The 22,220-nt window shown below is 54.1% G+C and overlaps 2 protein-coding genes, 1 long non-coding RNA gene and 1 pseudogene across 35 annotated transcripts in view, besides 8 other annotated features; 2 read left to right on the forward strand and 2 right to left on the reverse strand.

Annotated features, from left to right (window-relative positions):
* THAP7 (THAP domain containing 7) lies at positions 1-3,015 on the reverse strand. 2 transcript variants are annotated; one of them, NM_001008695.1, is made up of 5 exons: positions 2,983-3,012; positions 2,729-2,808; positions 2,153-2,308; positions 1,544-1,684; positions 669-1,329 (listed from the first exon to the last, which is right to left on the reverse strand). In NM_001008695.1, exons 2-5 carry the CDS (start codon positions 2,806-2,808, stop codon positions 777-779), a joined length of 930 nt encoding a protein of 309 aa, NP_001008695.1. In that variant the 5' UTR covers positions 2,983-3,012; the 3' UTR covers positions 669-776. The 2 variants fall into 2 exon arrangements, with proteins under 2 accessions (NP_085050.2, NP_001008695.1); NM_030573.3 differs by having other exon boundaries at positions 1-1,329; positions 2,729-3,015.
* Positions 61-616: an enhancer, noted in NCBI's record as "H3K27ac-H3K4me1 hESC enhancer chr22:21353453-21354008 (GRCh37/hg19 assembly coordinates)". NCBI's record gives its function as "activates a minimal SCP1, AML or CMV promoter by ChIP-STARR-seq in naive H9 embryonic stem cells {active_cell/tissue: H9 hESC(naive)}" and the evidence as "EXISTENCE:reporter gene assay evidence [ECO:0000049][PMID:30033119]".
* Positions 1,869-2,078: an enhancer, noted in NCBI's record as "active region_18694". NCBI's record gives its function as "activates an Ori minimal core promoter by ATAC-STARR-seq in GM12878 lymphoblastoid cells {active_cell/tissue: GM12878}" and the evidence as "EXISTENCE:reporter gene assay evidence [ECO:0000049][PMID:35858748]".
* Positions 2,679-2,848: a silencer, noted in NCBI's record as "silent region_13505". NCBI's record gives its function as "represses an Ori minimal core promoter by ATAC-STARR-seq in GM12878 lymphoblastoid cells {active_cell/tissue: GM12878}" and the evidence as "EXISTENCE:reporter gene assay evidence [ECO:0000049][PMID:35858748]".
* Positions 2,819-11,271, forward strand: THAP7-AS1 (THAP7 antisense RNA 1). 2 transcript variants are annotated; one of them, NR_027051.1, is made up of 2 exons: positions 2,819-3,726; positions 9,564-11,271. It is a non-coding gene; the product is annotated as a THAP7 antisense RNA 1 (long non-coding RNA). The 2 variants fall into 2 exon arrangements; NR_027052.1 differs by lacking the exon at positions 9,564-11,271 and adding an exon at positions 3,815-4,169.
* Positions 2,869-2,978: a silencer, noted in NCBI's record as "silent region_13506". NCBI's record gives its function as "represses an Ori minimal core promoter by ATAC-STARR-seq in GM12878 lymphoblastoid cells {active_cell/tissue: GM12878}" and the evidence as "EXISTENCE:reporter gene assay evidence [ECO:0000049][PMID:35858748]".
* Positions 3,620-4,010: a silencer, noted in NCBI's record as "fragment chr22:21357012-21357402 (GRCh37/hg19 assembly coordinates)". NCBI's record gives its function as "represses an EF-1alpha promoter that drives an FKBP-Casp9 reporter gene in an ReSE screen in K562 erythroleukemia cells {active_cell/tissue: K562}" and the evidence as "EXISTENCE:reporter gene assay evidence [ECO:0000049][PMID:32094911]".
* Positions 9,100-15,184, reverse strand: TUBA3FP (tubulin alpha 3f pseudogene; annotated as a pseudogene). Its single transcript, NR_003608.1, has 3 exons — positions 14,679-15,184; positions 12,281-12,487; positions 9,100-10,350 (listed from the first exon to the last, which is right to left on the reverse strand). The product of NR_003608.1 is annotated as a tubulin alpha 3f pseudogene (transcript).
* Positions 10,341-10,486: a silencer, noted in NCBI's record as "fragment chr22:21363733-21363878 (GRCh37/hg19 assembly coordinates)". NCBI's record gives its function as "represses an EF-1alpha promoter that drives an FKBP-Casp9 reporter gene in an ReSE screen in HepG2 liver carcinoma cells {active_cell/tissue: HepG2}" and the evidence as "EXISTENCE:reporter gene assay evidence [ECO:0000049][PMID:32094911]".
* The window catches only part of P2RX6 (purinergic receptor P2X 6), an 18,210-nt gene continuing 6,685 nt past the window's right edge, over positions 10,696-22,220 (forward strand). For 12 of the 30 annotated variants that reach the window (XR_937950.3, XR_937952.3, XR_007067990.1 and 9 more), the window contains exons 1-3: positions 16,062-16,235; positions 16,839-16,989; positions 18,886-18,957. Coding sequence is in view for 25 of the 30 variants with exons in the window: in XM_011530498.3 (XP_011528800.1) it covers positions 16,072-16,235; positions 16,839-16,989; positions 18,886-18,957 (387 nt within the window). In the remaining 5 variants the exon portion in view is untranslated. Of the gene's footprint in view, positions 10,774-16,061; positions 16,567-16,586; positions 16,990-18,817; positions 18,958-22,220 lie in introns of those variants that run through there. The other 18 variants (XR_007067992.1, XM_011530500.3, NM_001159554.2 and 15 more) reach the window with 10 other exon arrangements.
* Positions 11,229-12,044: an enhancer, noted in NCBI's record as "NANOG-H3K4me1 hESC enhancer chr22:21364621-21365436 (GRCh37/hg19 assembly coordinates)". NCBI's record gives its function as "activates a minimal SCP1, AML or CMV promoter by ChIP-STARR-seq in naive and primed H9 embryonic stem cells {active_cell/tissue: H9 hESC(naive and primed)}" and the evidence as "EXISTENCE:reporter gene assay evidence [ECO:0000049][PMID:30033119]".
* Positions 14,942-15,091: an enhancer, noted in NCBI's record as "active region_18695". NCBI's record gives its function as "activates an Ori minimal core promoter by ATAC-STARR-seq in GM12878 lymphoblastoid cells {active_cell/tissue: GM12878}" and the evidence as "EXISTENCE:reporter gene assay evidence [ECO:0000049][PMID:35858748]".

Here is a 22,220-nt window from a genome sequence, read left to right on the forward strand (position 1 = left end):
ATACTTGCAGTGAGTCACCCCAAGACGGAGCTGTTTGAGAACTGCAGCTGCAGCAAGGCCTTCCAGGTTCCTGGGAGTTGAAGGAAAAGGATGCTGAGGCCAGGACCTGAGTGCTTGTCTCCATGTTCTGGCCACCTCTTCCTAGATTTCCAGGGACTAGCTTGTTGGGGCTTTACTACCTGCTGACATGACCCAGGAGGTTGATGATTGTCATCATCATCCCCGTTTTTCAAATAGAGATGGTAGTGAAGGGGGCGGGGAGAGGGTTGTCCAGCTTACCCACCAGGCTGATGGGGCCTGTGGACAGAAGCCTGTCATGCTCCTGCTTGAGAACCGGATCTAGACTGGGTTTTAGAAGTGTTCTCAAAGGGGCTGGCTGGTTTAAGTCAGGGCTGTTTCAGATCCTATGGAAAGGGCGCCTGGAGCTGTCTTCCTGGCCCCTACTCACACCATCCTGCCCCTTCAGAGAACCCTGTGGGGCACGGAGCTGCGCTAGCAGGGCTGACTGCCACCTGTCTACCAGTAGCTCTGAGGGGTGAGAGCCAGGCTCCCTGTTCTCCTTGGCAAAGAGCTTGGACTGAGCCCTCTAGGAGCTGCAGCCACTGTCTGGGGCAGCAAGCTTAGTACTCAGAGGGGCTCCAGCCCCCAGCTGAGCCAGACAGCAGGCCCTCCGTCTAGAATCCGCTTTATTATGGCACCTGGTGGGTCTGGTGGGATCTGAGGGAGGAAGAGGCTGCAGTCTTGCTGGGCAGCCCCTCGGTCAGTCCAGCAGCCCCTCAGGCCATGCTGCTGCTCAGCTGCATGGCAAAGTCCTGCACATGCTCCTTCAGAGTCTGGCGGGCATCTGCCTGTGCCCGCTTCTCCCGTGCCCGCTCCTGCTGCAGCTTGGTCAGTCTCAACCGCAGCCGCTGCTCCCGCCGCTTGCAGGCCTGCAGCTGGCGCTGGGCCTTGTCAAGGGCATCAAGGGCTGCCTCGGCTCGCCGCTTCCAGAGTAAGGCGCTGCCCACCTGGTAGCTGTGTTCATTCTGGATGTAGGCTCCGGCGGGTGGGGGCAGGCGCAGCATATACGCTGAGGGGGAGACTGGCCGTGGTTCGAGAGGGGAGGGCTGCCGCTCTGGTGAAGGCTGGGCGCTGCAGCCTGCTTCATCTGCCTGGGCACCCAAGGGGCCCAGTAGGTCTGAAAAGGGGCTGCTAAGGCCAGGCTCCAGCCTCCCAGCTGGGGAGGCCGGCAAAGTGGCAGGTGCTGAGGCCTCTTCCACAGGAAAGCAGGTGACATCAGCAGGTGGAGGTGGAGAAAATGGAGTTGTGGGCCCTCGGCCCTCGGAGCAGCTGGTAAGGGGGAAGAGAGAGACTGATGGGCTAGGCTGAGGGCTTGCCAGACCCCCCTCCACCAGCCCACCTGATCCACCCTTAACACCCAAACCCGATCCACAGGTTCTGTGTAGCAAGAACCCTGTCCAGCGAGACTGCTGGCAGACACCCCTAGGGCCCAGTCCCTCAGCCTAGGGGTGGGAGTGGGGCATCCCCCACCCATATCACATACCGCTTCCTGCATCGTCTGAGCCGGCTGACTTCAGCGGGGCCAGGTGGGTAACTGTGTCCTTTGGTCTTGGTTGTCCGGCGCAACTTGGAGAAAGACTCAAATATGGTGGGGACTGCCCCCTCCTTTAGCCTGTGATATCCACTGCGGGGAAAAGCAACCCAGATGAGCTGGAGAGCAAGTGCTGCCTCCCCAGGCCAATCTGCCCCCAGCAGCAGCGCCGTGGGATGCTGGAAGGCATCGTGCAAACAATACGTCTGGGGAACGCCAAGTTACAGCTACACCAATCGCTTCCCCGCAGGACTCCTCACAGTCCAGGTGTGTGGAAAGCCTGCATAAGCCGAGCTGGGCTGACCAGCCAGAAAGAATTCTTTGATTTGTGGACTTGCTGGCAAGACTGGGGCTCTGAAAGATACTCTCTGGAAAGGCTCCTGTTTTCCCCTTGTGTCACAGGCACAGTGATCCTGGGGGTGGGTTTCACTGTGCAGAGCTGGGAACAGGAAACAGCCCCCTTGGACGCAGGCTGCTCAAGGGACTTCCATGACCTGCAGCTGTCCCAGTCCGCCGGGAGCCCCACATCCTACCCCAGCGTCGGCCGGCAGGGAGGCCCACCTGATTCCCACCAGCTCAAAGCAGTCCTCCTCAAAGTGTTTGGAGCAGAAGTAGATGTACTCGGATGCCGGGTCCCACAGGCCCTGGCCGCTGGGGTCCAGCCGCTGGCAGTTGGCCAGCCACAAGCCTCGCCTCGGGTTGTCCTTCTTGGGAAGTCTGTGGAGCCACAAACCCGTGAGCACCAGGCTGTCCACAGCCCTGGGCTCATGCTGCCCAAGCACCCCAGAGGGGAAACGCAGACCCAACACGCGCCGCCACGAGACCTCCCTGCGACCCCGCCGGGTAAGCACCACCGCCCGGGCACAGACGAGGCAACGGAGGCCTCGAGAAGAAAAGCAGTTTCCTCAGCGTCATCTGGCAGGTAACAGAGTGGGGCGGGTCCAAGCCGGCTAGACTTCCCGTCCTCCCCTTCCCGACTGCATTCAGTCCCGCCGGGACCGTTCCGCTTCACCTCCCACCCACAGGTTCAAGCCTCCTCAGTATCTGAGAAAGGCGCGAAGCCTCTACGCAGTTGCGACCCGAGGCGAGCAACAACTAGCGCATGCGCACGTGAGCCCGCGGCGCACGCGCGCTGACCTGTGGAAGGAGATGCCGCGGTTGCGCGTCTCGCGCGTGTCCCGTGTGCAGCAGCCGGCGGCGGAGCAGTGACGCGGCATCTGGGAAAGAGGCGGGAGTTAAGTCGCAAGCGGCTCTCCGGGCATCCGGAGGAGCCTCGCGCCTCCAGCCGCCGCTCCTCCCCAAGGGGCTCTGGCCTGTCGGGTCCCCCCCGGCCCGTTGTCGCCCCAACCCCGTCCCAGCCGATTCTCTTGACTTCTGTCAGCGGCACTCACGCTCTGGCCATTGCTGCGCCGCCGAAGTCTCGCGAGGGGTAGCGCGCGCCGGAAGTTGGTACCATAGAGACTGGAGAGCCGGAGGTGCCCCCGCCACCGGGGCGGGGCGGGGCGAGGTCCTAGCTAGCTGGGTTAGTAAGCGGCGCGAGCGTGCGAGTTTCTGACGCGCCCGCGTCGTCCCAGCTCCCTGGACTACCAGTATTGTCGCCCACGTGGGCTTCTCTTTCGTCCGCTCAGGCCTCACTTTTCTCCGTAAACACCCCGGCACGATGGAGCGGCCCCAGCGTTCGGGAGCGGCCCGGGAGCGGAAAGCGGCAGTGTCCTGGGAGCCTCGAAAGCCGCAGGGGCGGCAGCTCGCCTCGGAATGACCTCTGACGGAAGAAATAAAACGGGGCCTGGGACGCTTGCACGAAAGAACCCGACAAAAACCAGAGCCCGCACTCACTCTCGTACTGGGGAGGTGGACTTCAGGGAGGGTTATCTGGAGGAGGAATCTCTCAAAGTACAACACAGGAGAAAGACAGTATCGCAATACAGAAATTTTATTTTTTATTTTATTATTATTTTCCTGAGACCGGAGTCTCGCTCTGTCGCCCAGGCTGGAGTGCAGTGGCGCGATCTCGGCTCACTGCAAACTCCGCCTCCCGGGTTCACGCCATTCGGCTGCCTCACCCTCCACAGTAGCTGGGACTACAAGCGCCCGCCACCACGCCCGGCTAATTTGCAATACGGAAATTTTAATAGGTAATTAGCTCTCCTAGCGTTATGGTGGGGAATACAGAGGGATGGTTGCCTGCCGCACCCTCCCCTCACTATTCTTCGCCTTCTTCAGCCTCAGCTTCCACGGAATCCATGCCCACATCTTCATAATCCTCCAGAGCTGCCAGATCCTCGCGGGCCTCGGAGAATTCCCCCACTGCCATGCCCTCCCCCACGTACCAGTGCACTAAGGCGCACTTGGCCGAACTTATGGTCCAGGCAGGCCCAGGCCTCCGTGATGGCCGTGGTGTTGCTCAGCATGCACACCGCCCGCTGCACTTTGGCCAGGTCTCCCACAGGGACCACCGTGGGGGGCTGGTAGTTAATGCCCACCTGTCAGAGATGGGCAGCATAGAATGAAGTTTATATTGGCCTCAGAAATGGGAGCTCATTAAAAATCAGAGCTGTGGACCAGTTCCAACACTGTGTTTTAAGAATTGCTTCTATATTTTTTGGCATTATCTGTTATCTATCGACAATTAATATCCTTTGACGACTTTTTTTTTTCTTTTCTTCTCCTTCTTCCTCCTTCTCCTCCTTCTTTGTTGTTGTTGTTGAGACAGGGTCTAGCTCTGTTGCCCAGGCTGGAGTGCAGTGGTGCAATCTCGGCTCACTGCAACCTTTGTCTCCCAGGTTCAAGCAATTCTCCTACCTCAGCGTCCTGAGTAGCTGGGATTATGGGCATGTAAGATGGAGCCCGGAAGACGGAGATTTCAGTGAGCTGAGATTTCGCCACTGCACTCCAGCCTGGGCTACAGAGCGAGACTCTGTCTCAGAAAAAAAAAAAAATTATTACCCATATTACCCATACAGTAAAACACATGAAAAAGAATGAGAACCCTGTCTTGGGATATAAATACATCCAAGGTATATTGTATACTTTGTAAAAAGAAAAGTGAGTTGAAGTCTATGTATTTATGTGTAAAAAAATCCATGTAATAACATACACAGGCTAGAACCTTGGGCAGCTAGGGTAGCATCATGCCGGAGGAGGACAAACGCCTGCTGAGGTGGTGACCCTGCCTTGCCCTGCCAAGCACGTAGCAGTTAGCACCAACTAGATACAGACACACTCCACAGGAGTTGGAAGGGGCAGAGAGAAGGGTTCGTACCCTGATCAGGGAGTGTCCTCCCACAACTCTAAGGCCAAGCCTATCAGCCCTTCCAAGTGGGAGTGCTGCCAGCTTTCTGTTTACTGTGACCACCTGTGTGCAGCAATTGGGTCTGTCACCTACAGGAAAGGGACATACATATCTGCTGGCCACTGTCAACATCACCTGTATAACAAGAGATTAATATGCCTTGAATATGTACAGAATGTTTTTCAAAGGACAGAAGCAGCTCTGGGGAAGAAGAGGACTTCAGCTTTTCAGTCTTCTGCATTCTTTCAGTATTTTGCCACATATCAGGTTTTGTTTTGTTTTTGAGACAGGGTCTCACTCTGTCACCCAGCCTTGAGTGCAGTGGTGTGATCTTGGCTCACTGCAACCTCTGCCTCCTGGGTTCAAGCGATTTTCCCACTTTAAGTGATCCGCCTGCATCAGCCTCCCAAAGTATTGGGATTACAGGTGTGAGCCACCGCGCCCGGCCCATATCAAGTTTTTTTTTTTTTTTTTTTTTTTTTTTTTTTTTTTTTTTTTTTTTTGAGATGGAGTCTTGCTCTGTCATTCAGGCTGGAGTGCAGTGGCACAATCTCGGCTCACTGCAACCTCCACCTCCTGGGTTCAAGCAATTCTCCTGCCTCAGCCTCCAGAGTAGCTGGAATTACAGGCAACCGCCACCATGCCTGACTAATTTTTGTATTTTTAGTAGAGATAGGGTTTCACCATGTTGGCCAGGCTGGTCTTGAACTCCTGACCTCCGGTGATCCGCCTACCTTGGCCTCCCAGAATGCTGGGATTATAGGCGTGAGCCACTGACCGCACCCAGCTTTTTTTTTTTTTTTTTTTTTGAGATGGGTTTTGCTCTGTCGCCCAGGTTAGAGTGAAGTACAATGGTGCCATCTTGGCTCACTGCAGCCTCAACCTCCCGGGCTTAAGCAGTCCTCCTGTCTCAGCCTCCTGAGTAGCTAGCACTACAGGAAATGTGCCACCATGCCCAGCTAATTTTTTATTTTTTGTAGAGACAGGTTTTGCCACGTTGCCCAGGCTGGTCTCAAAGTCCTGGGCTCAAGCCATCCACCCAATGGATTACAGGTGTGAGACACTGTGCCTGGCCAACATAAGTACTTTTATAATAAAAAACCCAAATGTTCGTATTTTTTTTTCTAAGGGTCTTGTTCTGTCACCCAGGCTGGAGTGCAGTGGCGCAGTCATGGCTCACTGCAACATCTGCCTCCCAGTCTCAGGTGATCCTCCTACCTCAGCCTCCCAAGTAACTGGAACTATAGGTGTGTGCCATCACACCCGGCTAATTTTTTGTATTTTGTGTAGAGATGGGGTTTCACCATGTTCCCCCAATGGATCCTGAACTCCTGGACTCAAGCTTTTTTTTTTTTTTTTGGTGAGAGAGGGTCTCACTTGGTCACCCAGCCTGGAGTGCAGTGGTGCAATCTTGGCTCACTGCAACCTCCACCTCCTAGGCTCAAGTGATCCTCCCACCTCAGCCTTCCAAGTAGCTATAAGTGCGTGGCATCATGCCCGGCTAATTTTTTGTATTTTTGGTAGAGATGAGGTTTCACCATGTTGCCTAGGCTGGTCTCGAACTCCTAAGCTCAGGTGATCCACCGACCTCAGCCTCCCAAAGTGTTGGGATTACAGGCATGAGCCACTCGGTCCAGCCCCCAAATGTTTTTAAGCATGGAAAAGACTCTTCGAAAATAGCATATCCGAAGCTGGGTGCAGTGACTCACGCCTGTGATTCCAGCACTTCGGGAGGCCAAGGCGGTTGGATCACTTGAGTTCAGGAGCTCGAGACCAGCTTAGCCAACATGGTGAAACCCTGTGTCTACCAAAAATACAAAAATTAGCCAGGCTTGGTGGCGCATGCCTGTAATTCCAGCTGCTTGAGAGGCTGAGACAGGAGAATTGCTTGAACCTGGGAGGCGGAGGTTGCAGTGTGTTCCATTGTACTCCAGCCTGGGTGACAGGGCGAGACTCCATCTCAAACAAACAAACAAAAAAAAAGCAAATGGTTGTTAAAGAATGTATGGTTGGCTGGGTGCGGTGGCTCACACCTGTAATCCCAGCATTTTGGGAGGCCAAGGCGGATGGATCAACTGAGGTCAGGAGTTCAAGACCAGCCTGCCCAACACGGTGAAACCTCATCTCTACTAAAAATACAAAAAATTGGTCAGGCGTGGTGGCTCATGCCTGTAATCCCAGCACTTTGGGAGGCCGAGGCGGGCGGATCACTAGGTCAGGAGATCAAGACCATCCTGGCTAACACGGTGAAACCCCGGCTCTACTAAAAAATAAAAAAAAAAAAAAAAAAAACGTTAGCCAGGCGCGATGGCGGGCACCTGTAGTCCCAGCTACTCGGGAGGCTGAAGCAGGAGAATGGCATGAACCCCGGAGGCGGAGCTTGCAGTGAGCTGAGATTGTGCCACTGCACTCCAGCCTGGGCGACAGAGCAAGACTCTGTCTCAAAAAAAAAAAAAAAAAATAGCCAGGCATGGTGGCGGGCGCCTGTAATCCCAGCTACTCAGGAGGCTGAGTCAGGAGAATTGCTTGAACCGGGGAGGCAGAGGCTGCAGTGAGCCGAGATCACATCACTGCACTCCAGCCTGAGTGACAAGAGTGAAACTCCGTCTCAAAACAAACAAACAAACAAGAATGTATGGTAAATCACACTAAGACTGACAAAAAGGAACTTAAGAGCAAAGAGAATTAATTCAACAAGGTCCATCTAAGGCTGGACTATCTTCTGGGGGGAGGAGAGGCTGTGACTTTATCTCCCCACAGACTAGCCTCCCTACTGTCTCACAATACTTAGTTACAATAGGAAACCTCTGCACAGCATAGCATCTCCCACAGTGCCTGCCAGCTAAGGATGTCTTCACCTTCCAAATGTAACACTAATTGAAAGAAAAATTCCTCTACTCAAGTTGAGAGGCTTAATAATTAGACACAGAATGGAGGGTTTCACCTCCTACCTGTAACATCTTACATCTAAGGTCTGTAATCCTCCTATGTAACATGTAATGAACATTCCAGGTTGGTGTAACTGTTGTAGATTTTACCCTTCTTTTTCCTCTTTTTTTTTTTTTTTTTTTTTTTTGAGACAGTCACGCTCTGTTGCCCAGGTTGGAGTACAGTGGTGATCTTGGCTCACTGCAATCTCTGCCTCCCTGTCTCAAGCGATCCTCCCACCTCCACCTCCCCATTAGCTATGACTGCAGGCATGCACAACCATACCTGGATAATTTTTATATCTTTTGTAGAGACAGGGTCGCACTATGTTGCCCAGGCTGGTCTTGAACTCCTGGGTTCAAGCAATCTTCTCACCTGGGCTTCTCAAAGTGCTGGGATTACAGGCATGTGTCACTGAGCCTGGCCGATTTTACCCTGTTCTATGAATCACTTTAAATCTGTCAACTTAAAGATGGTTTGCATCAACGTGAGATGAAAAAGAGAGATGATCTGTGTCAAGGTGTTGTAAAGTGGCTGAGAGAGGGCCAGACAGATTCAAGAAGTTGTGTGCGTTCAGAGGCAAGTTATGGCCATTCCACATGGGAAAAAGAAGACACATACCTGTGACTTTCTCATATCATTTCAATCTGGAATGATCCTGGAACTTGCAACTCCTCAAACACCTTCAGAACTCATTGAGACTTATAAATGTGGGATCTATAGCTTTGCCTAATGTGGGAAACCACTGTAGACAGGGGCTCTTAACTAACCATAGGGCACAAAGTTGACCAACACAGGTGTGGTGAGGCATTTAGCCTAGTCATCACAACAGATCTTCGAGCCTGACATTCTGTTATTTGGCTTCCAAATACATGGTACTTTTCTTTTGGTAGACAACTGACTGTAAGCATAGCTAAAGGAGCACCAAATCATCAGTCTGATTGTGTGTGAGGCAGAGGTCTCTGCTTGGTTTGGAGAAAGGGCAAAGACCTGCCTTTGGTCTTCACAGTAAACACTGCACAATATATTTAAAAATCTTTACAGAAATATTAGTGTTGCCCAAAATTCAGTGACAACAGGTGACCAAGATGATGTAAAGTGTAAAAACCACTATTTATAACACAAAAAATGATAACATAGAACCTGACAAATTACTAAAGTGAGCAGTGGAGTAATGTGGAGGACAGACCAGGACCTGCAGTCAGATAATCTCTGATTTCTCTCTGCATCACTTGCTGCCTGTGAGGCTCCAGACACCTAAAGCTATCTCAGCCTTTGTTTTCTTTTCTTTTTTCTTTTTCTTTCTTTTTTTTTTTTTTGAGATGTAGTCTCGCTCTGTTGCCCAGGCTGGAGTGCAGTGGTGCAATCTCGACTCACTGCAAGCTCTGCCTCCCGGGTTCACGCCATCCTCCTGCCTCAGCCTCCCGAATAGCTGGGACCACAGGTGTCTGCCACCACACCCGGCTAATTTTTTGTATTTTTTAGTAGAGCCGGGGTTTCACCGTGTTAGCCAGGATGGTCTCAATCTCCTGACCTCGTGATCTGCCTGCCTTGGCCTCCCAAAGTGCTGGGATTACAGGCATGAGCCACCGTGCCCAGCCTCAGCCTCTGTTTTCTAAAGTGTAAGATACTGGTAATATTGCCCCATGAACTTTAAAGGGTAGTGGTTAAGGTATGAGGGAACATAAAGTATTTGGTAAAGTATAAGGCGGTAGGAAATAAATTACTAAAATTATTATCCTTGCAACCTAGCTGACGTGAAAAGGGGTTGTCTCCATAAAGGATGCGGGCCTTCAGGGGCAGCATTATTCTGCAGGTCTCCTGCTTCCTGATGGCACAAGGACTCCACATCACCCAGTCCTACCTTAAATCCAATCGGACACCAGTCCACAAACTGGTTGGTGTGCTTGCTCTTGATGGTGGCGACAGCCGCACTGACATCTTTCAGGACCACATCCCCTCTGTACAACATGCAGCAGGCCATGTACTTGCCATGGTGAGGGTCACACTTGACCATCTGATTGGCTGGCTCGAAGCGGGCACTGGCGATCTTGGCCACGGACAGCTGCTCATGGTAGGCCTTCTTGGCTGAGATGACCAGGGCGTAGGTGGCCAGGGGGAGGTGGATGTGGGGGTATGGCACCAAGTTGGTTTGGAATTCTGTCAAGTACACATTCAGGGCCCCATCGAATCACAGGGAGGCCGTGATGGAGGACACGATCTGCCCAGACGACTGAGGTTGGTGTACATGGGACACTCGATGTCCAGGTTGTGCTGACATGTCATAGGTGGCTTTGCTGTCGACTATGAAGGCACAGTCAGAATGTTCCAGGGTCGTGTAGGTGGTCAGGATGGAGTTGTAGGGCTCCGTCATGGCCATGGAGACCTGGGGGGCTGGGCAAATGGCAAACTCCAGCTTGGACTTCTTCCCGTAGTCCACCGAGAGCCGCTTCATGAGCAGAGACACGAACCCAGAGCCAGTGCCGCCCCCAAAGCTGTGGAAGATGAGGAAGCCCTGCAGTCCCATGCACAGATCTGCCTGAGAGAAACCAGACAACGTAAGCCAATGCCCGTGGGAGCCACACCACCAACCTCCACCAAGCCGGGGCCACTTCTCTTTGCCTCTGAGAGTTGATACGGATTCAGACCATCCATAATGAACACGCATCACACTTTGAAGCAGAGAAAAGCAGACAATACAGATCTATGCACAAATCACCACGCACACTTCACAGTAAGACGTTGCAGAGGTCTAGGAAGGCTGGTTTGAAGAAATACACAGAAGAAAAACGGATGGACTAACCAGAGCGCTCAGCCAGCCTGCTGGACTGGCACCCGTGGCTACAGACACTCTTGTTTAGCACCATGGAGAGCTCCCTGCACAGAAGCAAGGACTCAGGGCATTGCCCCCTCTCTACCTGAGAACTAGACTCAGCGCCCAGCACTGGATTTGATAATACAGGTACTCAAATACATGTGCTTTCCTCTTTACTCAGACACTTCTAGGGCTGGCAGGGTCAGACAGTAATCCCCCACTTTGTGGGGAGGCCCTGTTTTTGCTGAACAGCTCAAGGGCAGGAAGATTCTTTCTTCCACACACCCCTGCAACTGCCAATACTTGTTCTGTGTGACCCTTGCAGCCATCCTATGCGGTAGGTGCTACCATTGCCATGGATCAAGTGGGGACGCACAGATCCAAGCTCCTTCACCTCTCAAGGGAGTTGGGCCCTCCCACAGATCTCTTGGAGGAAAAAAATGGCCTTGCTGGGCCTGTCGATTTCCAGTCCCCACCCACCTCCCTCATGTACATGTGTCTGTTTGTGAAACCTTCATAGCACCTTAGCTTCCAGGCCCTCCATCCCGGCTGCCTCTCTGGCACTTGCCCTTTTACTGTGCGGGTCCAAAGAGACACCTATGTTCAGTTTGTCAAAGTCTGAAATAAGCCTGTCTTTTAATTTCACTGACTCCCAGTAGTAATTTTTTTAGAAGACAAACTGCTTCTCTGGCAGTTACACTCCAGGGCCAATTCTCAAAGGCCAAGTCTGGTGCCACCCCACTCCCTCTAAGCTGCTTGAGCCAGATGAGAGCTTCTGAAATGCTGCAGAAAAGAGCTCTCCTGGGGCATCCATTAAAATGCAGATTCACTGGCATTCCCCTAAGAGTTTGGTTCAGCAGGTCCAGGGTCAACATCTGCATGCCTCACCCAGGGTCACAGGTGATTGTTACTATTATTGGACCATTTGAGGAGAGGCAGGTAGAAGTGCAAATTCCTGGCAAAGCAAACACTCAGGGGCATGAGAGTGATGAGACCAAGGAATCCCAACCATGTCTTCTACCTCACCTGGAACAAAATCTATACCCTTTTTGCCACGGCCTACAGCCCTGCAGCCCTCTGCCCTCTCCACCCCACAGCCTGGCCACGCTTCCCTGGCTCCCTAGCCTAGGCACACTGCTGTCTGCCAGTCTGGGAAACAGGCCCGCATGCTCACTGTTCCTCTGCTTGAAATGCTCTCCCTCTGATCTTGCCATGGCTGACTCCTTCCCACCCTGCACATTTCAGCTTAAATGTCACCTCACAGAGGCCTCCCCAGCCACCTCTTTAAAGCAGGGGGTCCCCATTCTTCTCTAGAAGCATAAACTATTTGTTTCTTTTGCAGTGCCAATAATTACTCAGAATGATATTGTTAACATTGTCCCTTGAGGTCAGGAACTTGGTTTTGTTCAAGGTGGATCCCTGGTGGCTAAGTCAGTGCCCAGCACATACAGCAGCGCGCAATGAGATATTTGTGGAAGGAATGAAGAGTTCCGTGTGGCTGGAGTGGAAGAGGAGTGGGGCAAGGTGGGGTGTGGGGAGCAGGAACCAGAGCACATGCTCCCTGGCGATGTGCAGCGCGGTCCTGCCAACCCCCACCCATCCCTGCCCCAGGAAGCTGAGCTTTCATGGCCATGGTGCCCTGCGCAGGCATTACCTGCTTGGTCATTCAGCTGGTTGTAGCTCAGGTCCAGGGACTTCAGGTCTGTGTGGGCCAGCAGGAGTTCGGCAAGGTGCTGGGCCGCCTGCTCCTCCAGGCCATTCCCTGACAGCTGCATCTTCCGCATGGCCTGGTTCACTGTGAGGGCGGCACAGAGGGCCTGGGCTCCTGCCACTCCCAGCTGGTTCTCCAACAGGTCCACATCTGGGGGACGGAGCCACTCCTCAGCCAGTGGGATGCAAAGCCAGGTACCACCCCCCTCCCCCCTCTTCTGCCATCCCCCAAACCTCCAGGTCTGAGGCAGAGGAAAAGGACTTACAGGTTAACTGTCCTGGGGTTGCATGGTGGCTCTGGCTCCCAATGGCTGGGTCCCCTCTGCCCCTGACCTCCCCCTCCCTGTGTGCCCACCAGCTTCTGTGTCAAGCGGTTAAAACTGCCTACCTCCTGGTACTGTAGAGACTGCTGTGGTGGGGGGCAGCCACCCCATCAATGATTATGTCTGGCAGTGATATCACCACCCACTTCAGAAGCCCTCACTGCCCCATTGCCAGGATTGGCAATAATAGCCCAGGTGACTGTGCATGGAGCACTTACATGGGTCACACACTCTGCTGATCACTTCAGGAGTGCATTTCACTTCATGCTCACCACAGCCCCAAGCCTATGAGGTCTTGTGGGGGCCATTTCACAGATTGGAAACTGAGCTGCTTTCATAGGTCACCCCGTTTTCTCAGTGGCAGAGACAGCATTTGGATTCAGCTTCAATGAACTCCCACCTTGCCCACCCCTTTCTTGAACTTCCCCGCCCCCAACTCTCTGTGTTGCAGGACTTTCCACTCTGCATTCAGGCACTGGGGAGTCTCCCATGTGCAGGGCAGGGCAGGAGAATGGGTGCCAGCCAACAAGGAAGGAGAGTGGTGGGGTAGGGTGGATGAGGAAGGGACTTGTATCCAGCATCAGCTGCACAGCAGAGGGTCTAACTCCACCCCACATACCCCCTCCTGTGATGAGGCCCCTCCTCTATCCACCAGCAACACCAGCAGGACCCAGGTGACATGGCCCAGCTTTCAGGGGTGGAGGCACATCCCTGAGGAAAGGGAGGACTCACGCCTGCCCACCTGCCCCAGACCCAGCACCTACCGCAGATGCTGCTGCTTTTGCTCAGGGCACCTGCCAGGGCCTCTGTACCTGCCCCATAGAGCCCACTGTCCCAAAAGTTCAGCCACTTGACATATGGATTGGAGCTCAATGAGGAAGCCAGAGACCGGCGCCCTGGGACAGACAGAGCAAACACACTGGCCACTATCCTGGCTCATGCTCCAGGGCTCAGCCCGCTCCACGTCCCCCACCTGGAAAGTACCCCCCTTTCCACCTGCTTAAGGGACACATGCTTCTCCTTTTAGGCCCCACCTAGGTGTCCCCCACCCCCACCTCTCCCAGAGCCCCCAGCGGGTTAGAAGCCTGAAGGCTCCCCAACCCTTCATGCCATCTGTCATAGCATCAATCCCATCTGTCTCTCAGATGTCGAGGGTAGGGCATGCCTGGCACAGGCAGAAGCTGGGGAGTACAGGGGACAGACTCAGGGGCACTCCCATGGCTGTTGTCTCCCGGGGCCTCTCCCTGTAAGCCTGGACCCAGTGTCCTTCCAGTGGTACCTGGGGCCCCAGGCCACCGTGCAGCAGGTTCAGCTCTGGGGCACTCCCTTGGCACAGAAAGCAGAAGATGGGCACAATGCTATGGATCCAGCAAGACCTCAGGTACAGGGTGTCCCCGACCAGTTCTCCAAGTCCATGGGTGCCTGGTAGGAGACAGGGGGATGAATGTGAACCCCTGCATGGCTATAGCCACCTGCCTCCTCCCCTGCCCTGCATCACTACCTGGCCTATTTTTTGCCTCTAGAAGCACTGCTTCCTATGCTCCTTAGGACCACTGCCCGCATATGACAGATAAGAACATCGAGGCTAAGGCAACGCAAATCTTTTCCTTAAAGTCATACAGCTGTCAAAAGAAAGCTGGACAACCTGGGCAACATAGCGAGATAAAAAATTATTTAAATTAGCCAGATGTGGTAGCCCCCTGTAGTCTCAGCGACTCAGGAGGCTGAGGCAGGAGGCTCACCAGAGTGCAGAGTTCAAGGATGCAGTGAGCTATGATCCTGCCACTGCACTGAAAGCTGGGTGACAGAGCAAGACCCTGGCTCTAATAAATGAATACATAAAGTCTCACAGCTAGTGGTAGCTAATCCTGCCAGAGTCAGGCCTCTACCTGTCTGATGACAAATGGCACACTATGTCTTTTAACCTGATTGCAGACCACAAATGTTTTGTGAATATTTTCCCCAGGGAAAAAACCGGAAGTAGTTCTAAATTCTATACATCCATTATATTAGTTTTACCTGTGGATTGGGAAAACCCAGCTCTGATTGCATTTCAGGGCGGGACAGCCTTTGGTGCACTGTCTGGCGGGATTTTCCATTTTAACCTCCTTCTAGAAGCGCCTTCTCATGGTAAAGTTCCTGATGCCGCCAGGAGCGCCGAGGAGAGGGCAGGGGGCTGGAGACGCCCCGCAGAGGGCTACGTGCCCTGCTGGACAGAGGTCTCCTGCCTCCTCGGCGGCGCCAGCCCACCTCCCACAACCCCTGCGGGAGAAGCCCCCAAGGGGAGGAGACGGGCCTGGCCCCTGCCCCGAGCACCTTCCGTCTCTAGGTCGGAGTCTGAATCGGCCTTGGGACCCTGCTTGGCTTCGGGGACCCCTGCAAGACGTCCACAGGCCGCCGTCGCCTCTTCCTCCTGCTTTTTATCCTCCCCAGACCTCTGGCAGGAACCGCTCATCGTTACGCCCCTTTCGCAGCCTCAGACCCTGAGGCGGAGACCGCTTGGCGCCTCACTTAGAGCGCGACCCGGGGATGTGGGCGGAGTCTGCGGCTGCGCTGACCAATCGAGTGTGGCGTCCATCGACTGGCGTCTGCCACGGCAATTAGCGACGCGCTCCCCCGCGGCGGTCGCCCCGGCAACCCAGTGCTGTAGGTTGCCGTAGAAACCGTGGCTCTCCTGCGCTGAGGCTCCTCGCCTGAGAGGATAAACTGCACGCGCCACGGGCTATGCACTGGGCTGGGCGCCTTGTGGGCATCCTCCCTGCCTTCCTAGGGGGTTCCAGCATCGCCCCCCTTTCGTGGACTGGGAAACACGCCTGACTCCAGGACTTGTGTTGTCCTCACTGCACTGGGGAAGGTGGCGGGGGCAGCTTTTCAGGAGGGCCTGGGGAACTTCGCAGAGCCAGGTCACCCTCTCACTCTGTGCCTCTTAGTTATCTTGCATGCTCTGGTCTTTGCATACGCTGCTCCCTGCACCAGGAACCTCCATCCCCATCTTTGTCTGCTTGTCGAACTTCAGAAATCTGCAAGGGTCAGCTTAGAGGTCACTTCTTCCGGAAGCTTTCCTCAACACCCTCCCCGCCCTGCTGCTGCTGCCCTCAGGCCCTCCTCTCACAGCACTGATAACAGCTGTCCGTCTCCACCCTCCCACCACCTCCACTCCCACCCCAGGAAGTGAGGCCAGAGGGCAGGGACAGAGCTGCTGCTGTTCTCTGTGTGCCAGGGCCCAGCAAAGGGAATGTAGGGAGGGTGGGAGGTGCAGGGCAGCTGGGATTAGGGGTTGAGGGCTGGGTGTTGGAGGCTGGATCTGGATCCTGCTTTAGTGGAAGTGTCCCTTTAACAGCAACTGGCCTGGCCTGGCTCGGGCCCTGCTTTGCCTCCTGTTCAGCTGCGGCTGCAGCTGCCATGCTGACTCATGTGCCCGCAGCTAGCAGGAGCTGGCAGCATGGGCTCCCCAGGGGCTACGACAGGCTGGGGGCTTCTGGATTATAAGACGGAGAAGTATGTGATGACCAGGAACTGGCGGGTGGGCGCCCTGCAGAGGCTGCTGCAGTTTGGGATCGTGGTCTATGTGGTAGGGTAAGAGAGAAGAGCTTTTGGCCAGGCTGGAGGGGCAAGGGAAGAGGTGGGGGGTGGGGCTTGGTCCTGCTGGGTTGAAGTTGAGGGTTGGGCTGTTTAGGGGCTGGAGTGGAAGGGGGCAGATTGGGACGGGGTTGGGGAGAGCTAGGCGATACAAGACAGGAGAGCAAGAACAAGCTGTGTGTTTGTCCTGTGTGTCCACTTGCCTCCTTCCCAGGCCCCCACCCAGGCCCCACCCAGGGGGCACATGACATAGTCCTTAACATCTGTGAGAGCTGGAGCACTAGGCCCCCAGAGAGACCACCAGCTGTATCTCGGGTCAGGAGAGTCTGTAAGGGGGAAGCTGGATCTAGTCAGGCTGGGGGTGGGTGCTGGCTAGTGAAGGTGATTGTCTGAGGGCATTGGCTCTCTGATGCATGGCTGGAGCTTCTGTCTCATTCAGGGGGTCTGGAGTGGGAAGTGGGGCCAGAGAGGAGGTGGGGCCTTCGATGTTGGGCCGGGAGCCTGTAGGGTGTGGGGGGAGAACTGAGCATGTAGGGCTCAGCTCCGCCCCTGTCACTACACGCTGGGGACACACCACACTGCCCGACTTCTCCTCCCCAGGTGGGCTCTCCTCGCCAAAAAAGGCTACCAGGAGCGGGACCTGGAACCCCAGTTTTCCATCATCACCAAACTCAAAGGGGTTTCCGTCACTCAGATCAAGGAGCTTGGAAACCGGCTGTGGGATGTGGCCGACTTCGTGAAGCCACCTCAGGTGGGGGCCCTGATGTTGCTGACGGGGGCGCAAGTCCTTTCCCCACTGACAGCCTGAACACCCGCCATGCAGCCAGTGTGTGCGAGAGAGAAGCATGTGATGCCAGAGACGGCTGCGGGTTCTCAGGAAGGGCTTCACAGAGGAGTGGCACCTGGACAGGACTTTCAGGGATGTGTAGGAGGTTTTGGGGTGGAAAAAGGGGCCACTCAAGAAGCCAGGCCAGGGTTGGACGTGCTGGCTCACGCCTGTAATCCCAGCACTTTGGGAGGCCAAGGCAGGTGGATCACGAGATTGAGAGTATCCTGGCTAACACGGTGAAACCCCATCTCTATTAAAAATACAAAAAATTAGCCGGGCATGGTGGTGGGCGCCTGTAGTCGCAGCTACTCGGGAGGCTGGGGCAGGAGAATGGCATGAACCCGGGAGGTGGAGCTTGCAGTGAGCCGAGATTGCACCACTGCACTCCAGCCTGGGTGGCAAAGCGAGACTCTGTCTCAAAAAAAAAAAAAAAAAAGCCAGGCCAGAGAAACTGCATTTCCAAAGACTGCCAACAGAAAAGAAGGGAGTGTCCAGGACTAATGGCTTGAGCTTGAGAGTGGTGTGAGGTGCTGGGGCATGGAACTTCCCTGTAGCCCTGCTCCCTGACCTGGGGCACTACGGTCAGGTGCTGCTCCTCCCCTCTTCTCGGCTGCGTTTTCCTCCTCCCTCCACCCAGCTCATCCCCAGCCTCAACTGCCACTTCTGCTCCTCTGATGCCCAGGGTGTATTCCCAGTGATCACCTGCCCAGAGCACAGCTGTCTTCTAGGTGCACACCCACATGTCCAAAGATCAATTATTTTCCTCTCCTGGCATGGCCTCTGTGACGCCCACTAGTCATGGTGGCTGTGACATCCACTAGTGCCTCAGCCAGACCCGTGACTCACCCTGGACCCCTTCCTGTCCCTTCCAAGATTTTTCACCACTACCCATGCCATGCCATGCATGAGACTATGGCCTCCTAGAGGGTCCCTAGATGCCCCTCTCGCCTCCTCCCTTACTGCTCGGTGCACACCACGCAGCAGCCAAGCTGAACTTTCACACCAGGCATCATGAGAGCCTGCAGCGCCTGCTTCTACCCTCAGGAATTCCCCCAACCCTGCCCATGACGGTGTCCACACTTTCCTCCCAATCCTAATGGCTGCCACTCCCAGCACCATCTGGCCAGCCCTCACCTTCCCTTCCTGGGCATACATTCCCCAAATTCACAGTGCTCTCACGAGCAGCACTGGAGGGTCAGCCTTTCTTTCCAATGTCCTCGGCCACCCGTTGACCACAGACACAGCTTTCCCTCTTCTCCCTTGGCCCCTGCCATGCCAGTGCTGCTGTGTGTGAGATGGGAGACTCACCTCGTCTCCATCCTGAGCAGGTGCTGGGCCCAGCTCTCCCTTGGATCTTCAGTACTAGAAGCAGCAGGCTGTTGGAATATTCTGGTTGGAGCCAGGCATGGTAGCTGGAGCCTGTAGTCCCAGCTACTTGGGAGGCTGAGGCAGGAGGACCTCTTGAGTCCAGGAGTTAGAGGTTGCAGTGAGCACTGATCACAACACTACACTCCAGCCTGGGTGACGAAGTGTAATCCTGTCTCTAAATACACACATACACATGCACACACACACACAAATTTTGGTTGAGACAAGAGACTTGTCTCAAGAGATGGACATGGGCACAAGGCTTCCTGGTCTCAAAAATGGCCAGAACCACTGCCAGCCTCCCATCTCTGCTTCAGTCTGCCTTACAGGGGGACAGGGTTAATGACTTGATGGGGCCAACATCCCTTCCCTCATAAACCAGGCTGCCGGCTTCCGGCCTTTCCAGTCAACACGAGCCCAGCCAGGCCAACCTTGAGACTTGCCTCCTAGGGAGAGAACGTGTTCTTCTTGGTGACCAACTTCCTTGTGACGCCAGCCCAAGTTCAGGGCAGATGCCCAGAGGTGAGTTTACCCAGGATCCTCCCAGCGGGTCCCTTGTTCCTCCATCAGCCCCAGGGGGCCACCCGTGTTTCCCTTTCCCCTTCCCAGGTGGCTGAAGGCTCAGCCTGTGCTCGGTGTCCCCCAGGCACTGGGCTACATCTTTTCCTGAATCATTATGTTCAGTCTTCACATATCCCCTGCCTGGTAGGAAGTCCTGTGATCCCCATTTCAGAGGAGAAGACTGAGGCTCAGTGAGGTTGAGTCACTTTCTTAAGGCCTCCAGGCCTGTGGGTGACAGGACCCCGAGCTCTGGGCAGCAGCAGTTCCCATGAGGTGTCCAGGCCCTCCCATCCTGGTCCTGCCTCTGGGTACTCTCCAGGTTGGTAGTGTGACACCCAGAGCTGCGCACATGCTCAGGGAGGTTCTAATAGCAAGAGCCAAGCTGGAATATCACCTCCCCTTGTCTGTGCCCAGCCTCTATTAATATGTCCTGAGGCAGCTTTCATCTTTGTGGGCCAACACAGCACACTCTTGCTCATGGTGAATTCAGGATTGCTTATGATTTCTGGATAGTTTTTTTTGTTTTATTTTTGAGACGGAGTTTCACTCTGTCACCCACGCTGGAGTGCAGTGGCAGATATCAGCTCACTGCAAGCTCTGCCTCTCAGGTTCACGCCATTCTCCTGCCTCAGCCTCCGGAGTAGCTGGTACTACAGGCGCCTGCCACCACGCCCAGCTAATTTTTTTTTTTTTTTGTATTTTTAGTGGAGACGGGGTTTCACGGTGTTAGCCAGGATGGTCTCCATCTCCTGACCTCATGATCCACCTGCCTCGGCCTCCCAAAGTGCTGGGATTACAGGCGTGAGCCACCACGCCCGGCCTGATTTCTGGATAGTTTTTACATCAACCGTGGTCAAGCCAGAGTCCCCCACCTTGTTCTTCTTCATTTCTGATCCAGAAATGCTGATTCTCCCCCTGACATTTCACCTTTTCCCCTTGCCTGGGGATGTCCCTGGGATCCTGCATCTGTCACAGAGCATGCTCATTCTCTCCAGCTGTGAATTTTGTTTGAACTATTGGGACTCAGGACATAGTCCTGAAAGTTTACCTCCACAGTGACATCTTTAGGCAAGTCCAACATTTACGTGCCTCCTGGGCTGGAGGGTCGTTGTGCAGACAGCTGTCCCCTGAGCCCTGGTGGCTGGTCCTAGCACAGTTGCTGGAGACATCCCATGTCCGTAGTTGGAAATATGCACAAAGGATTGCTTACTCTTTTTGTTTGTTTGTTTTTTTGAGATGGAGTCTTGCTCTTGTCCCCAAGGCTGGAGTTCAATGGCACGATCTCGGCTCACTGCAACCTCCGCCTCCTGGGTTCAAGCAGTTCTCCTGCTCACCCCCTGAGTAGCTGGGATTACAGGTGCCCGCCACTGTGCCCAGCTAATTTTTGTATTTTAAGTAGAGACGGGGTTTCACCATGTTGGCCAGGCTGGTCTCGAACTCCTGGCCTCAGGTGACCCACCAGCCTCGGCCTCTCAAAGTGCTGGGATTACAGGCGTGAGCCTGCCGAGAGCTTGGTCGGGGAGACCTGAACCCAGCGGTGCTAAAGGAATTAAAGACAAACACACATAAATATAGAGGTGTGGAGTGGGAAATCAGGGGTATCACAGCCTTCAGAGCTGACAGCCTCGAACAGATTTACCCACATATTTATTGACAGCAAGCCAGTGATAAGCATTGTTTCTATAGATTATAGATTAACTAAAAGTATTCCTTATGGGAAACAAAGGGATGGGCTCTGGTTGGTTAGCTGCAGCAGGAGCATGTCCTTAAATCACAGATCGCTCATGCTATTGTTTGTGGTTTAAGAACGCCTTTAAGCGGTTTTCCGCCCTGGGTGGGCCAGGTTTTCCTTGCCCTCATTCCGGTAAACCCACAAACTTCCAGTGTGGGTGTCGTGGCTATCACAAACATGTCACAGTGCTGCAGAGATTTTGTTTATGGCCAGATTTTGGGGGCCTCTTCCCAACATGAGCCACTGTGCCTGGCAGGATGTGCTTACTCTTGGTGAACCCACACAATGTCCTTCTCTTTCTTAATGCTCAGATGTGCATTTAGTGTTCAGTTTGTAGACCGTTCTGAAATTTGGCTGGATCTGTGGGTCTGTGTTTTTCAGAATCTGTGCAATTCCTCTTTGTCTGCAACCACACTTCTGGCTCTTCCCATGAAACGTCAGGGCTGGGTCGTAATTATCAGATCTGACAACCTGGCTTTCCCGGAAGACCAGAGTTCTGCCAGCTCCTCTAGGGATCCTGGTGCCTGATCCCTCCCTTACATGCACCATGCTCTTTATAGTGTCACCTCCCTCAGCAGACACCGCTGAGCCTCCCCGCTGGGCCAGGGGGCTAGCTAGGCTAAATTCACAAAACTCCATCTCCCATACTTCAAAGACCACCCACATGGACAGCCCAGCCCAGGTGGCAGGTCCTATGATGGGACAGAGGCTGTAGGTGGGGGACCTAGGGCTGCACTTGAGCAGAATCTTTTTTTTTTTTTTCTTTTTTTTTTTTTTGAGACAGAGTCTCGCTCTGTCACCCAGGCTGGAGTGCAGTGGCGTGATCTCGGCTCACTGCACACCTCCACCTCCTTGGTTCAAGCGATTCTCCTGCCTCAGCCTCCCAAGTAGGTGGGACTACAGGCACACACCACCACACTCGGCTAATTTTTGTATTTTTAATAGAGACAGGGTTTTGCTGTGTCGGCCAGGCTGGTCTCAAACTCCTGACCTCAGGTAATCCGCCCACCTTGGCTTCTCAAAGTGTTGGGATTACAGGTGTGCCAGGCCAAGCAGAATCTTAAAAAAAGGTGGGGAGAAGCTGGTGAGCAGGTGGATTTGGTTGAAGCAGGATGTCGACACAGAGGGGGCTTGGTGGGTAAAGGCCCTGAGCTGTGTGAGGTGAGGTGCCTTTAGGGCTACCTGCCACTGGGTGGAGCTGAAGTGAAGATTTGGACTGGGGTGGGAAGAAGGTAGTTCAGGATTTCAGGGGCCCCTGTAAGCCCCACTAAGGAGCTAAACTGTTTTTGTTTGTTTGTTTTCTTTTTCTCTTTTCTTTTTTTTCCTGTAGCAATGAGGTCTTGCTTTGTTGCCCAGGCTGGTCTCGAACTCCTGAGCTCAGGCAATCCGCCTACTTTGGACTCTCAAAGTGCTAGGATTACAGGCGTGAGCCACTGTGCCTGGCAGGAGCTAAACTTGATTAGAGGAACAGAAGAGAGCCACACGTGGGCTC

This window comes from Homo sapiens, chromosome 22 (assembly GCF_000001405.40).
Source record: "Homo sapiens chromosome 22, GRCh38.p14 Primary Assembly".
NCBI lineage: Eukaryota > Metazoa > Chordata > Mammalia > Primates > Hominidae > Homo > Homo sapiens.